The 17,292-nt window shown below is 34.3% G+C and overlaps 1 protein-coding gene across 5 annotated transcripts in view; it reads right to left on the bottom strand.

Moving 5' to 3' along the window:
* The window catches only part of CHIC1 (cysteine rich hydrophobic domain 1), a 123,964-nt gene that overhangs the window by 87,521 nt on the left and 19,151 nt on the right, over positions 1 to 17,292 (bottom strand). For 2 of the 5 annotated variants that reach the window (NM_001300884.1, NM_001039840.4), the window contains exon 3: positions 15,019 to 15,174. In NM_001300884.1, the coding sequence (NP_001287813.1) occupies positions 15,019 to 15,174 (156 nt within the window). Of the gene's footprint in view, positions 1 to 5,264; positions 12,959 to 15,018; positions 15,175 to 17,179; positions 17,212 to 17,292 lie in introns of those variants that run through there. The other 3 variants (XM_017029583.2, XM_017029582.2, XR_001755699.2) reach the window with 3 other exon arrangements.

The raw sequence follows: 17,292 nt of genomic DNA, 5'->3' as shown, positions 1-17,292 counted from the left end.
TTTCCTATTTAATAAATGGTGCTGGGAAAACTGGCTAGCCAGATGTAGAAAGCTGAAACTGGATCCCTTCCTTACACCTTATACAAAAATCAATTCAAGATGGATTAAAGACTTAAACGTTAGACCTAAAACCATAAAAACCCTAGAAGAAAACCTAGGCATTACCATTCAGGACATTGGCATGGGCAAGGACTTCATGTCTAAAACACCAAAAGCAATGGCAACAAAAGACAAAATTGACAAATGGGATCTAATTAAACTAAAGAGCTTCTGCACAGCAAAAGAAACTACCATCAGAGTGAACAGGTAACCTACAAAATGGGAGAAAATTTTTGCAACCTACTCATCTGACAAAGGGCTAATATCCAGAATCTACAATGAACTCAAACAGATTTACAAGAAAAAAACAAACAACGCCATCAAAAGGTGGGCGAAGGACATGAACAGACACTTCTCAAAAGAAGACATTTATGCAGCCAAAAAACACATGAAAAAATGCTCATCATCACTGGCCATCAGAGAAATGCAAATCAAAACCACAATGAGATACCATCTCACACAAGTTAGAATGGCAATCATTAAAAAGTCAGGAAACAACAGGTGCTGGAGAGGATGTGGAGAAATAGGAACACTTTTACACTGTTGGTGGGACTGTAAACTAGTTCAACCATTGTGGAAGTCAGTGTGGCGATTCCTCAGGGATCTAGAACTAGAAATACCATTTGACCCAGCCATCCCATTACTGGGTATATACCCAAAGAACTCTAAATCATGTTGCTATAAAGACACATGCACATGTATGTTTATTGCGGCATTATTCACAATAGCAAATACTTGGGACCAACCCAAATGCCCAACAATGATAGACTGGATTAAGAAAATGTGGCACATATACACCGTGGAATACTATGCAGCCATAAAAAATGATGAGTTCATGTCCTTTGTAGGGACATGGATGAAATTGGAAAGCATCATTCTCAGTAAACTATCGCAAGAACAAAAAGCCAAACACCACATATTCTCACTCATAGGTGGGAACTGAACAATGAGATTACATGGACACAGGAAGGGGAATATCACACTCTGGGGACTGTGGTGGGGTGGGGGGAGGGGGGAGGGATAGCACTGGGAGATATACCTAATGCTAGATGACGAGTTAGTGGGTGCAGCGCACCAGCATGGCACATGTATACATATGTAACTAACCTGCACAATGTGCACATGTACCCTAAAACTTAAAGTATAATAATAAAAAAAAAAAGAGAAATGCAAACCAAAACCAAAATGAGATACCATCTCATGCCAGTTAGAATGGTGATCATTAAAAAGTCAGGAAACAACAGATGCTGGAGAGGATGGAGAGTGTAAATTAGTTAAACCATTGTGGAAGACAGTGTGGCAATTGCCCAAGGATCTAGAACCAGAAATACCATTTGACCCAGCGATCCCATTACTGGGCATATACCCAATGGTTTGCAAATCATTCTCCTATAAAGACACATGCATATGAATGTTTTCTGCAGCACTATTCACAATAGCAAAGACTTGGAACCAACCCAAATGCACATGAATGATACTCTGGATAAAGAAAATGTGGCACATGTACACCATGGAATACTATGCAGCCATAAAAAAGAATGAGTTCATGTTCTTTGCAGGGACATGGATCAAGCTGGAAACCATCATTCTCAGCAAACTAACACAGGAATAGAAAACCAAACACTGCATGTTCTCACTCATAAATGGGAGTTGAACAATGAGAACACATGGACACAGGGAGGGGAACATCACACACCAGGGTCTGTCAGGAGGTGGGGGGCTAGGGGAGGGATAGCATTAGGAGAAATACCTAATGTAGATGACAGGTCGCTGGGTGCACCAATCCACCATGGCATGTGTATACCTAGGTAACAAACCTGCACGTTCTGCACATGTATCCCAAAACTTATAGTGCGTATATATATATATATGTGTGTGTGTGTGTGTATATATATATGTGTGTATATATGTATATATATAATTATGTTATATATATAAAAATATATTTTTTTAAGATATAATGCCTAAGCCCAGGCAAGAAAAGAAAACTAGTTTAATGGGACTTCATAAAAATCAACAATTTTGTGCATCACATGGCACTATTAAGACAGTGAAAAGACAAACCACAGAACGGTAGAAATTATTTGTAAATTATATATTTGATAAGAGATTAACAAGATTATATAAAAACACCCACAACTAAAGAACAAATAAACAACCTAGAGAGAAAATGGACAAAGGATGTAAACAGACATCTCTTCAAAAAAGACATACAAATGTTCAACAAGCAAATGAAAAGACACTAAATATCACTAATCATGAGGGAAATGTATGTCGAAATCACAATGAGACACCATTTTATGCTCACTAGGGTGGCTGTTATAAATGAAATGGAAAATAACACACATTGATGAGGATCTCCATAAATCTGAACTCTTCTGCATTGCTGGTAGGAATGTAAAATGATATAGCTCCCATGGAAAAGATTGTGGTGTACAGAAGCTCTTTAGTTTAGTTACATCCCATTTTTCAATTTTGGCTTTTGTTGCAATTGCTTTTGGTATTTTGGTCATGAAGTCTTTGTCCATGCCTATGTCCTGAATGGTATTGCCTAGGTTTTCTTCTAGGGTTTTATGGTTTTGGATCTTACATTTAAATCTTTTAATACATCTGTAGTTAATTTTTGTATAAGGTGTAAGGAAGGGGTCCAGTTTCAGTTTTCTGCATATGGCTAGCCAGTTTTCTCAACACCATTTATTAAATAGGGTATCCTTTCCCTATTGCTTGTTTTTGGCAAGTTTGTCAAAGATCAGGTGATTGTAGGTGTGTGGTGTTATTTCTGAGGCCTCTGTTCTGTTCCATTGGCCTATATATCTGTTTTGGTACCAGTACCAAACTGCTTTGGTTACTGAAGCCTTGTGGTATAGTTTGAAGTCAGATAGTGTGATGCCTCCAGCTTTGTTCTTTTTCCTTAGTATTGTCTTGGCTACATGGGCTCTTTTTGAGTTCTATATGAAATTTAAAGTAGTTTTTTCTAATTCTGTGAAGAAAGTCAATCATAGCTTGATGGGGATATCATTGAATCTATAAATTACTTTGGGCAGTATGGCTATTTTCACAATATTGATTCTTCTTATCTATGATCATGGAATGTTTTTCCATTTGTTTATGTCCTCTCCCATTTCCTTGAGGAGTGGTTTGTAGCTCTCACTAAAGAGGTCCTTCAGATCCCTTGTAAGTTGTATTCCTAGGTATTTTATTCCCTGTGTAGCAATTGTGAATGGGAGTTCACTCATGATTTGGCTCTCTGTTTGTCTATTATTGGTGTATAGGAATGCTTGTGATTTTTGCACATTGATTTTGTATCCTGAGACTTTGCTGAAGTTGCTTATCAGCTTTAGAAGTTTAACTATCATCAGAGTGAACAGGGAACCTACAGAATGGGAGAAAATTTTTGCAATGTATCAATCGGACAAAGAGCTAATATCCGGAATCTACAAGGAACTTAAACAAATTTGCAAGAAAAAAGCAACCCCATCAAAAAGTGGGCAAAGAATATGAACAGACATTTCTCAAAAGAAGACATTCTTGAAGCCAAGAAACATATGAAAAAAAGCTCGTAATTACTGTTCATTAGAGAAATGCAAATCAAAACCACAATGAGATACCATGTCACTCCAGTTAGAATGGTGATCATTAAAAAGTCAGGAAACAAAAGATGCTGGAGAGGATGTCCAGAAATAGGAACACTTTTACACAGATGTTGGGAGTGTAAATTAGTTCAACCATTGTGGAAGACAATGTGGCGATTCCTCAAGGATCTAGAACTAGAAATACCATTTGACCCAGAAATGACATTACTGGGTATATACCAAAAGAATTATAAATCATTCTACCACAAAGACACATGCACACGTATGTTTATTGCAGCACTAGTCACTATAGCAAAGACTTAAAACCAACCCAAATGTCCATCAATATTAGACTGGATAAAGAAAATGTGGTACATATACACCATGGAATACTATGCAGCCATAAAAAAAGAATGAGTTCATGTCCTTTGCAGAGACATGGGTGAAGCTGGAAGCCATCTTTCTCAGCAAACTAACACAGGAACAGAAAACCAAACACTGCATGTTCTCACTTATAAGTGGGAGTTGAACAATGAGAACATATGGGCACAGGGAGGGGTACAGCACACACCGGGGCCTGTCGGAGGGTGGGGGTAAAGGGGAAGGATAGCATTAGGACAAATACCTAATGTAGATGATGGGTTGATAGGTGCAGCAAACCACCATGGCACGTGTATAGCTATGTAACACACCTATATGTTCTGCACATGTATCCCAGAACTTAAATATAATAAAAAAAGGGAAGATTTTGGTGGTTCCTCAAAAAGCTAAACAATTGCCATATGACCAGCAATTGTACTCCTAGATATATACCCAAAAGAATTGAAATCAAAGACTCAAACAGGCACTTGTATAGTAATGTTTACTACAGCATTATTCCCAATAGCCAAAAGGTGGAAACAACTCAAGTGTCCATCAATAAATAAGTGGATAGACAAAACTATGATATTTACACAAAATAGAATGCTATTAAGCCATAAAAGGTAATGAAATTCTGAAATATGATATGGATTAACAGCGAAGACTTTATGGTATGTGAAATAAGCTGAATCTAAAAGAAAAAATATGGCATTATTTCACTTACATGAGGTATCTAGAACAGGCAAATTTGTAGAGACAGAAAGTAGATTAGAAGTTAGCAGAGTATGAAGAAAGGAAGAATTGAGAAGTTATTACTTAATGGCTATAGAGTTCCTATTTGGGGTAATGAAAAAAAATTGGAAATAGGTATTGGTAATGGTTCCACAACAGTATAAATGTAACTGAGGGCTCCAAGTCGTGTACTTGAAATGCATATGCATTGAAATACAAAAGAGGCACACTACTGAGTAAAATCCTATCTGCTGGCCCTTACATTTAAACTCTATCTACTGGATTGCAACCTGAATTATAGCAGCAAACAAAAATAAATTTCTTCAGCATGCAATGCCTATGAAATCCAATGCAGAAAACTAAGGAACCCATACAGAACCATGACCCTCTGAAAGCACTCAAAAAGAAAGCAGGCGGATCACCTGAGGTGAGGAGTTCAAGACCAGCCTGGGCAACATCGTGAAACCCCATCTCTACACAAATACAAAAATTAGCCGGGCATGATAGCAGGTGCCTGTAATCCCAGCTACTGGAGAGGCTGAGGCAGAAGAATTGCTTGAACCCAGGAGGCAGACATTGCAGTGAGCTGAGATCATGCCTTTGTATTCCAGCGTGGGTGACTGAGCGAGACTCTGCCTCAACAAAACAAAACAAAACAAAACAAAACAAAACAAAACAAAACAAAGGAAAGCACCTGTACACAACATTCACCAGTCAAACCTTCAAGAGGGAAAAAAAACCCCTATAAAATAAAAAAGTCCCATCCAAATAATAGCAATTTCAAAATGAGAAACACAAGAACCCCCAGAGCAGAAAAAAAAATCAATGCAATAACTCCAGCAATTCAAAAAGTCAGTGTGTTTACTTATCTAACAATGATTGCACTATGTCCCCAGAAATGGATCCTAAACAGTTTGAAATGTCTGAAATGACATAGAATTCAGAATCGGATGGCAAAGAAATTCAAAGAGATTCAAGAGAAAGTTGAAGTCCAATCCAAGGAAGCCAGTAAAATGATCCAAAAATTGAAAGATGAAATGACCATATTAAAAAAGCACCAAACTGAACTTCTGGAATTGAAAAATTCACTACAGGAATTTCAACATAAAATTAGAAGCATTAAAAAGATTAGATCAAACTCAAGAAAGAGTTTCAGAGATTGAAGACTGGCCTTTTCAATCAAGCCAGTCAGGCAAAAATAAAGAAAACAGAATTATAAAAAAGGAACAAAGTCTCTGAGAAATAGGGAATTATGTAGATAGACCAAACCTATGACACATTAGGACTCCTGAGACAGAAGGAGACAGAGTAAGCAACATGGAAAACATATTTGAGGATACAGTCCATGAACATTTCCCTAATCTTGGTAGAGGTCGACATGCAAATTCAAGAAATTCAGAGAACCTCTCCATGATACTATACAAGACAATCATCCACAAAACACAAAATCTCTAGGATGCAGCAAAAGCAGCATGAAGAGGAAAGTTTACAGTGCCAAATGCCTACAGTCAAAACTTAGAAGGATCTCAAATTATCAATCTAACATTGCACCTAGAGGAACTAGAAAAACAAAAACAAACTAACAAAGCTAGCAGAAGAAAACAAAAATCAGAGGAGCACTGAAAGGAACTGAGACCCCAAAATCCATACAAAGGGTCAATGAAACCAAAAGTTGGTTTTTTGAAGGGATAAACAAGATCTGTAGATTGATAGCTAAATTAACAAAGAAAATTGAGAGATGATCCAAATAAGCACAATGAGAAATGACAAAGGAGACATTACAACCAATCTCACAGGAATATAAAAGATCCTCAGACATTATTATGAACACCTCTATGCATACTAATTAGAAAATCTACAGGAAATGAATAAATTTCTGCAAACACACAGGCTCTCAAGATTGAATCAGGAAAAAAAAATGGAAACCCTGAACAGAACAATAACACGTTCCAAAATTGAAACAGCAATTAAAAACCTACCAATGAAGAAAAACCCTAAACCAGATGGATTCACAGCTGAATTCGACCAGAAGTACGAAGAAGAGCTAATACCAATCATACTAAAATTATTCCAAAAAATAGAGGAGGAGAGACTCCTCCTTAATTCATCCTATGAAGCCAGCATCATCCTGATACCAAAATATGGCAACGACACAATGAAAAAAAAACTTCAGGCCAATATCCCTGATGAACATAGACACAAAAATCCCCAACAAATACTAGCAATCTGAATCCAGCAGCACATCAAAAAATTAATTCTCCACAATCAAGTAGGCTTTAATCCTAGGATACAAGGTTGGTTCAACATATGCGAATCAATAAATGTGATTCACCACATAAACAGGACAAAAAACAAAGACCATATAATCATGTCAACAGACACAGAAAAAGCCTTTGATAAAACCCAATTTCACTTCATAAAAACCCTTAACAAACTAGCCATCAAAGAAATATATCTCAAAATAGTTAAGAGCCATCTATGGCAAACCCATAGCTAACATCATATAGAACAGGCAAAAGCTGGAACCATTTCCCCAGCCTTTTTGAGAACTGGAACAAGAAAAGGATACTCACTCCCACCACTCCTATTCAACACAGTACTGGAAGTCCTAGACAGAGCAATCAGTCAAGACAAAAAAATAAAAGGCACATAAATAGGTAAAAAAGTGAAACTACCTCTTTTTGCTGTTGGTATTATTTTATACCTAGAAAAACCCAAAAGACTCTGCCAAAAGGCTCCTTGAACTGATTAAAAAAAAAACTTCAGTAAAGTTTCAGAATGCAAAATCACAATGTTTTGTGATTATTGAAAAAATGATTCTAAAGTTTATATGGAAAAGTAAAAGATCCATAATAGTCAACACAGTATTTAAGGAGAACAAAGAGGACTGATACTACTTGACCTCATGACTTACTATAAAGCTACAGTAATCAAGATAGTGTGGAATTGGTGAAAGAACTGATTAGTTATTCAATGGAACAGAATAGACAAGGCAGAAATAGACCTCTGACAAAAAGGCAATTCAAGGAAATTGTTGTCTTTTCAACAGATGGTGCTGGTACAAATGGACATCAACATGCAAGGAAAACTGAATGTATTCACATACCTTACACCTTTCACAAATGCCAAACTCTTAAAATTCCTAGAATATAACATAAAACAAAATCTAGGTGACCTTGGGTTTGGCAATGAATTCTTACATACAACACCAGAAAGCAAGATGCATAAAAGAAAACATTAATAAGGTGAAATTCATTAAAATTAAAATGTTCCACTCTACAAAATATACTATTAAGAGAGTAAAAAGACAAACCACAGGCTGAGAGAAAATATTTGCAAAACACATACTTTGTAGAAAACTGGTATCCAAAGTATACAAATAACTCTTTAACAACTCAACAATAATAACATAAACAACCCAATGAAAAAGTGTGCATAGGCTCCTCAGTCCTCACCCCACTAGAGTCTCCTCCAGAAATTGGTGAGTGAGGGAATTTGGAGGCCACTAAGCCCTCTTTTCCTTCAGGAACCATCCTGTACCCATGTCATTAAAAAAAGGGGGGTCATAGGCCTGATCAGAAACCTCTTCAAAGAAGATACATAGAAGGAAAATAAGCTTGTAAAAAGCTGCTCAATATCGTATGACTATGCAGAATTAGAAATTAAAACAATAGTGAGATATCACTACCTACGTTTTAGAATGGCCAAAATCCACAATACTGACAACACCAAACGTTGATGAAGATGTAGAACAACAGGAAGTCTTATTCATTGCTGGTGGGAATACAAAATGGCACAGCGACTTTGCAAGACAGTTTGGCAGTTTCTTACAAAACTAAACATACTCTTACCACATGATCCAGCAATCATCAAATGAGTTCAAAACTGTCCACTCAAAAACCTGTACTTGAATGTTTATAACAGTCTTATTTATGATTGTGAAACCTTGGAAGTAACCAAGAAACCCTTTAATAGGTGAACAGATAAACTGGCAAATCTCAAAACTGGAATATTATTCAGTGATAAAAAGAAATGAGCTATCAAGCCAGGAAAAGACATGGAGGAACCTTAAATGCATATTGGTAAGTGAAAGAAGCCAATATGAATATATTCTATATAATTTCAACTTATATGACATTCTGGAAAAGGCAAACCTATGGAGACAATAAAAAGTTAGGTGATTGCTCAGGATATGCGGGTGGGATGAAATAGGTGTAGCATAATGGAGTTTTAGGGCAGTGAAACTGCTATTCTGTACGATACTATGATGATGGCTACATATCATTATACACTTGCCAAAATCCATAGGATGTAGAACACAAAGAGTGAAGCCTAATGTAAACCATGGACTTTAGTTAATTATAATATATCAATATTGGCTCATCAATTGTAACAACTGTACCACACTAATGTAAGATCTCAATAGTAGGGGAAATTGGTATTGGATGAGGGGGTTTATGGAATCTGTGCTTTTTGCTCATTTTTTTTTCTGTAAACCTAAAATTGTTTTTAAAAATCTATTAATTAAAAATTGCATATTAAAAAGTGAAGACAAAATAAAGACATTCCTAAATAAAAACTGAGAGTATCTGTGGCCTGCAGACCCAGCTTATGTGAAACACTAAAAGAAGTTCTTCAGGCTGGCATCAAGTGACACCAGATATTAATTTGAAACTGCACACAGAAAAAAAACATTCCAAGAAGCCAAATAAATTCCAAGTAGGATAAACTCAAAGTGAACCATACCAAGATAAAGTATAATTAAACTGTTGAAAGTAAAAAACAAAGAGGGAAATCTTGAAAGCAGTAAGAAAGAAGTGACTTGTTAAGTACAAGAGACTCTCCATAAGATTAACAGTTAATTTCACATCAGAAACCATGAAGGTCAGAGGCAGTGGGATGGCATATAGTATTTAAAGTGCAGAAATTACAAAACAAACAAGCAAACTGTCAACCAAAAATTCTATACTGAGCAAAATTATCCTTCAAAAAAAGAAATGAAGAAATTCCCAGACAACCAAGGGCTGAGGGAGTTCATCACTATTAGGACAGCTTTTCAATAAATTCTAAAAAGAGATCCTTAGGCTGAAATGAAAGGACACTAGACAATAACTTGAGGCATGTGATAAAGAACACTGGTAAAGGTAACTGCACAAATATATTTAAAAGCCAATATTGTATTTTTGGGTTGGAACTCTTTTTCCCGTATGATTAAAAGACAAAATGATAATCATAAATCTGTTAATGGACACACAATATATAACATATAATTTGTGATAACAACAACATAAAAGGGGAGGTATAGATATACATAGCAGTAGAATTTACATACTATTAAAGCTAAGGTGATATTAATTCAAACTAGTGTGTTATAAGTTTAAGATGTTAATTGTAACAACTAAGAAAATAACTTAAAAAGATACAGAAAAGGAAATAAGGTATACAGTACAGTAAAAAACTCAATTAAACATAAAATAAATAAGTAATGAAGGAATTGAGGAACAAAAAACATACGACATGGAAAACAAATAGCAAAATAGTGGAAGTCCTTCCTTATGTGTTATGGGCTGAATTATATTCCCTCAAAATTCATACAATGAAATCACAACTCCCAGTATCTCAGAATGTGAGTAAGCAATGTTTCAAAGAAAACTGAGGGCGGTAAATGCCTACATTAAGAAAGAAGAATGATCTCAAATCAATAACCTAAATTTAGACCTTATGGAACTAAAAAGAGCAAACTAAACCCAAACATAGCAGAAAAAAGGAAAAAATAGAGTGGAGAGAAATGAAATACAGAATAGAACAACAGAAAAAATGAACAAGACCAAAAGTTTTTTCTTTGAAAAGAAATTTGACAAACTTTCAGCTACAAGGATTAAGAAAAAAAAGAAGACTGAGATGACTAGAATCAGAAATGAAAATAGGGACATTACATATCACTCTTACAGTAATTTAGAAAAAAATTAGAAGTGAATACTAAAAATAATTGTAGGCCTACAACCTAGACGAAATGAACAAACTCCTAGAATTGACTCAAGTAGAAATAGAAAATCTGAATAGACCTATAACAAGTAAATATTGAATGTGTAATCAAAAACCTACCAAGAAAAAAAACTCAAGATCAGATAGTGTCACTGTTATGCCCAAAAGAAAGGAAATTCTCCCAAATGTTTAAAAGAAGAATACCAATCCTTCTTAAACTTTTGTAAAATACAGAAAAGAGGGAAACACTTTTTAACTTCCTGAGGGGAAGGAAAATGAGAAATGACTGCTTAATGGATATGAGATTTTCCTTGCAGGTGATAAAAGATTTCTGAAACTAGATAGTGGATGGTTGCATAACACTGTCAATGTAGTTAATGCGACTGAATTTTATCCACTTTAAAGTGGTTAAAAATGCAAATTTTATGTCGTGTATTTTTCCACAAAAAACATTATGTTCAGTTTTAAAAGCCATGAAAGAGTACATATCATATAAAATGTTCAAAAATGCAAACATAAGAGAGAAAGTAGATCAGTGGTTGTATAGGGCTGGGAGGATTGGAGGGAAATTGGGAGTGACAAAAAGTGATCACAAGGTTTACTCTTAGGATGATGGAAATGTTCTAAAATTAGATTATGGTGATAGTTACACAACTCTGTAAGTACAATAATATTCAATGAATTGTTCTCTTAATATGAGTTAACTTTATGTTCTGTAAATTATTTCCCAATAAATTATTTTTTAAACCAGATGGCTGACTCTCAAGCTGACCAGAAAAGTATCAAAGTTAGCTTAATACCAATCACTGTACTTCTGCAGAGCAGATACAATCCTACATTCAATACAATTAGCCAGTAAAGCTAACAAAAAAGGAAGCAAACTTATCAGCTTTTAGTATTAACATGCCATAAACATCATTTTCTTATATATGGCTCAAATGACTCAAGGTTGACACATAAATTAAAAGGTTCAAAGACAGTAAGGAAAAGGCAGTCTATGACCAAGTTATAATACTCTATGCACTCACTTTATGCATGTTGTCTTTGCCCAAGAGCACAAAACGTATTTTATGAAAGGCCTAAATTATACATAGATTACACGTAATTTGCTTAATTCTTGGCAGAACTATTTGTCTCTCATTGCAAAGACTGATTTTCTTTTCCAAATGGCATAATGTATGGATGGGGCATTTGTTTCTATCATATGCTTTTCCTTCTTTTTATAATTAGCTACAAAAACACAGAATCAAACAGGACAGTGAATTATAACCTCTATCTCCTAAAACATCATATTTATGTCATGAGTCAGAAAGTAGTCCTTTCCTCTGACCATCTCTCTCAATTTAATGAGTATCAAAGCAAAAAAGGAAAGGATAAAAGTAATTTCAAATTTTGAGTCATAGCATGACTGGGGCTGAAATTGACTATGATATCACAGTTGGTTCAGTGGTAGATAGAAGAACAAGTAAATGAAAAGCCTCACTTAATGTATCATGTAGCTGCGAAATCGCACCAGAGTCAAGAGAGATTAGGGGGAACTCAAGGCACTCTGACCTATATTTCTTTATCACCTAATTTGCTAGAGAAAATTCTCATGAATTATACTGCCAAAAAATTATAAGGCAGACTATCTACATAAAAATTCTTTTGCTGGAAATATTTTCAATAATTGGCTAATATAGCATCTTCATTATTATTTCCATTTTATTTTGTGAGCAAACAGAGATATGACTTCCATAAAGCTAGATACCCAATTAGAGATGGCTAGAGCAAGGTGTCAAACAACAGCCCATAGGCCAGATCTGGCTTGCTGCCTGTTTTTGTAAATAAAGTTTTATGAGAACACAGTAATGCTCACTCATTTACATATGCTTATGGCTGTTTACATGTGACAATGCCACAGTTGAGCGGTTGCAACAGAGACCTCTGGCTCACAAAGGCTAAAATATTTACTATTTGGTTCTTTAAGAAAAAGTTTTCTATCCACTGCTAAAGAATTAAAATTCAGTGGGCTGTTTATTATACAACTTACGCAAACATTTCTGGTCTCAGGACTAGTCAATTTGATGTAAGAAACATGATGTAGTCAAGAGGATGCAGTATTAAAGACAAAAACAAAAACAAAATAAAGCAAGGATTATTTTTGTGGCTGTGCTATTTGCCATGTGATTCTGAGAAAGTCACTTCACCCTCTGGATTTATGTCCACACCTGTAAAATAAGGGATTTGAACTATATGAATGTGAATCATACTTCCAATTAAACTATTATAGTCTATTCAACTTATTTTACATATTAGAAAATCAGTAGTGAATGTATAAAAATTCTTAATTATATTTTATATTTCTTCATGTAGACAAAAATCTTTGAGTTGCTTTAAATTTCATCATAAAACCATGTTAAAAGTAACTAGTAGTGTCCTGATTTTATAGGTGAGAAAACTTGAGGCTACAGAAAGAACAGTGACTTGCACAAGGTTACCAGCATGTTCTTAATGTTTTGCTGTCTAGTATAGTGTTGACAACATGGCACATACAAAATCAGAGGCCGTGAACTATAATGCTTACAGAGCAAGGCAGATAATGTAAACTATGGGTGGTTTCTAAGATGAACCAGAGAATGTATGTTCTACTTAAAGGAAGCAGCCACTACTCAGAGCCAACTGCTGACATATAGCCATGTGGGCCCGGTATTGCCAGATCTTTAGATTTTACAAGAGGCTGGATATCATGAATTTTATTTTAAATATTACAATGTTTAAATGTTGGCAAACTGATTAAAATGTTTAAAAACAGAGTGGGCTGGATTTGGCTCATGGATGACAATTTGCAAATCTATATTAAATAAATTTTTTAAATTGACAGATTTGCGAACCAGAATATACTGATGCCTCAACTTCACTATGAGCTTTTAATTATCCAAAGTAATGGAGGATAGGAGAGATCACAGCATCAGTATTATCTTAGTTTCCATTGAATATTCTATTCAAAGTATTGATAGTAAAATCAAATGACTGAAAAAAAAATGTTTCTCCTTATTTCAGGCCTTCTGGTGAAGGTATTAACAAATAGACAAAGTGTAAACAGGTCATCAGAAAAAGGGATAGTCCTGGATAATACAGAAACAAACAAACAAAAAAATCTGTTCTTAAGTAACTGAGATTAGCTGTATTTACATGATGGGAAATTCAAACATGATTATTTCATACTGAGGCTTTTAAAATAATAGGGATGGGTAGGAGTTATTGATTGTGACTTTTAAAAGTAAGATATGACAATTAAGAAAAGGAATTTATGCTGTCAGCTTTTTTTTTATTTATAGAAAACCATTTGAGAATACTGTACCTGCTCTGACAAACAATAGACTAAGCAATATTTAAAGTGAAGCTCTGACCTACTTGTGATTACCAACAGACTAAAATGCTTAACTTTTCCATTCAAAGAGTCATAGAGTTGGCAATATTTCATTATTTGTCTTTTTGAAGTAAACATTAAACCAGGCAGGAAAAGAATAGAGATAAAAAAATAATGAGTACTTCTTGGGAATATTTTTGGCTTTAATAAAATAACTGCACCACTAATTATTCTTCCACAAGGCACTATAATTTTGAATCTGATTTCATTGGCTACTTATTATTTAAAAGTTTAAATGAAATCATTCATACAGTACTAGGAAAAACACTTTAGGTAAAATGAATTAATTTTCCTCATTGGCTTCAATTAAAATATTTTAAAGGCATCTTCCCACCAGAGGAAAAAATTTACAAAAACTAATGTGAAATTTTAAAAAAGACAAGATTAAGACAGTACTCTTAAATCCATGACATAAGTAGTAATGCTATGCTAGCATGTTATTGTAACATGTTTAAAACTAAGGATTTGCCCTGCAAACTTTGTAGGTTACTCTCACTTTTGCCTTTCTTCAGATCAGAAGCTCTCCTTTATACCTATAACTTGGAAATACCTTAAGGCACAGCATCAGGTATTTTAAAAAGAATAAGTAGCCCACTTACATTTATAATTACTTAATATTTAACTTATACTGCTTTTATGTGAAATGATGGGAACCCATATTAAATGGTAAAGTGTTGACAAAAGTTGGACAAATAACAATGTACCTGTCCCCAAGTTTCCTTATCTCTAAAATAAAGATAGCATTGTTACAAGAATTAACTAAATTGTGTAAAGTACTTGAAAAGAGTTCATAGCACATAGTAAGTTTTCCATAAATGTTAGTTATTATTATTATTATACAATAAAACAGTTACTCACTCTTTTGTTGAGACAAATAACAGGCCATAGGCTGCAACCCAGTGTGCAACAGCAGCAGAGACAACCACACAGCAGCCATTTCACATTGACCGGGAGAGCCTTTTTCAAACATGCATTCACACGGCCAATGCTGGTTTTAAATTCTTCTGGGGCCACCTACAAGAGGGTACAATCTTTAACAGTTTGTGGGCAGCTTTTCACTGTTTATCTCTAAATCTAAGAAAAACATTTATTACAAATAATTTAAGGAATCACAAATATCTAAATAGATATATTCCCCATAAATATGTTCACGCACTCTAGGATGACGTTGAAAAGCACAACAATATAATTTCAAGTTCATAGAACTTAGCCTGATGTTGAAAATCAATCTTCTGAAATGACCACCAATAAAATGACTGCAATAAAATTGACGGAAAAGGATAACTTTCAAGCCTTTTTCTTACCAAATATTCTCATTATCAAGGCAGTATAATTGATAGTCTCTAGTCATTCTGAGTAAAAGCTGGGTAAGACTAGAAGCATAACACAACAATAAAAAACCCAAATACTACTAGAGAAAATGCAATTAAAATTAGACCTTGGCAATACTCCTGGATTACTTTGAAAAAAGGCAACTCTCAAACCCTTATTCCCTGGCAAATTTGCAATATAACAATTTTAACATTAGCCACTGTTAGTTACACTAACAAAAGACAATGCCTAGTGATTGCATTCAAAACAGCCTGTTAATATTCAGTATAAAATGGATTCATAACTGCGGTAAACTTTTAAAGTTGAAAGGTCTTTAAATACACAAGTTTAATATTTCTAGTTACTACCTCCATTCTTGGAAGTGGCTGCTTGTGCTTCTCTGTAAACAAGGACAAAGTCAGTTCAAAGGCATGCACATGACTGGAATAATTAGATTTATACCAAAAATTCTGCTTGAATGTTATACAATTCAAACATATACTAAAAATAGTTTGCTTTCAGTGAAATCACATTTCTAGATTACAAAAATGATTCCCTTTCATTTAGAAAGCTGTCAGACTATAAAGTTTATGAAAGAACATTTAGCATCTGGCTATAAAAGCAAAAATTAGGCAATGGTTAGGAAAAGTAAGGTATTATAAAATAAAAACCGCATTAGCAGGTTAGGAATCAAAAATATAGAGCTTTACTACTACTATTCCAAATAAAAATTGTACTCGAGGAATCAATTTATTACATTTTTGTCTCTTAATAGAGATGTCTTAGAATCAACACTACAAAACATATACCTATTAGCAAATGTTATAAAAATACATGATCACATAATTCAGCACTAAAGTAAGCTAAACATTACATATATAAGCTTTATTAGAAGTTTTATTAGAATTGTTCATGTCACTCAATAAGGTTAATTGCTTAGCCCATGAATCTGATTTTCTTACTAATATGTTAACAAACAATAGTTGTGAAATTATAAGGCTCAAAACTGTGTTTACACAGAGCAAGTAAACTAATTTCATTCTCCATCTAGACTGTCAGCAACATGATGTAAAGACAATCACTGGGTGCAAAGAATTCCAATTAAATGGCAAAATTTCTAAGTAAATATGAAAACAAATTCACACAGCCTTGCCTTATAATTGAAATTAGAAAACACTAACAAACTTAGTGCACAAGAGTGCACTAAGCACATTAAACTAAGACAAACTAAAAACACTGAAAAACAGATCGAGAGACTTGAATTATAGTTACTTATTAGCTATGAAAAATCCTAGGCAAATTCATTTAATTTTTCTGAGTTTCAGTTTCCCACCGATAAAATGAGAATAATAATCTTTGTTTTATATACTTCACAGAAAATGTAAATTAATCCTTGGAAGTAACCTCCTGCCTGAAATGCTTTGAAAAAGAAAGTCCATAAATCATGTCTCTGAGAAGGTTTGGAGAAAGAAAAGAAACAGCTCTCTTCTGCATGAAGTCTCACCTGAAGGCAATGGGTTTACTCAAGTAACTATTAATATTCCATAGTTTTCCTATATACTACATTATAAACAAAAGGATAATTTGTTTATAATCTGCTGCATGTTAAATGCAGATTCAATGCTCTTTAATTCTTCAGCAAAAAAAAAAGAAAAATCAAGCTCTTCTTTCTAAAAACAAGGTACCAAGTTTCTATCTTAAGATTTACCTCTCCAACAGCAATATTCAACTTCTTTTCTCCTAGGGAATCATTGGGCAACCAAATAGAAGTTAAAATAAAGAAAAAATATGAACATATTTAGCTTTAATCTGTAATATTAC

The sequence above is a fragment of the Homo sapiens genome, chromosome X, assembly GCF_000001405.40.
Source record: "Homo sapiens chromosome X, GRCh38.p14 Primary Assembly".
Classification (NCBI taxonomy): domain Eukaryota; kingdom Metazoa; phylum Chordata; class Mammalia; order Primates; family Hominidae; genus Homo; species Homo sapiens.
Note: the sequence above shows the minus strand (reverse complement) of the source record. Positions and strands in the feature narration are given on the sequence as shown.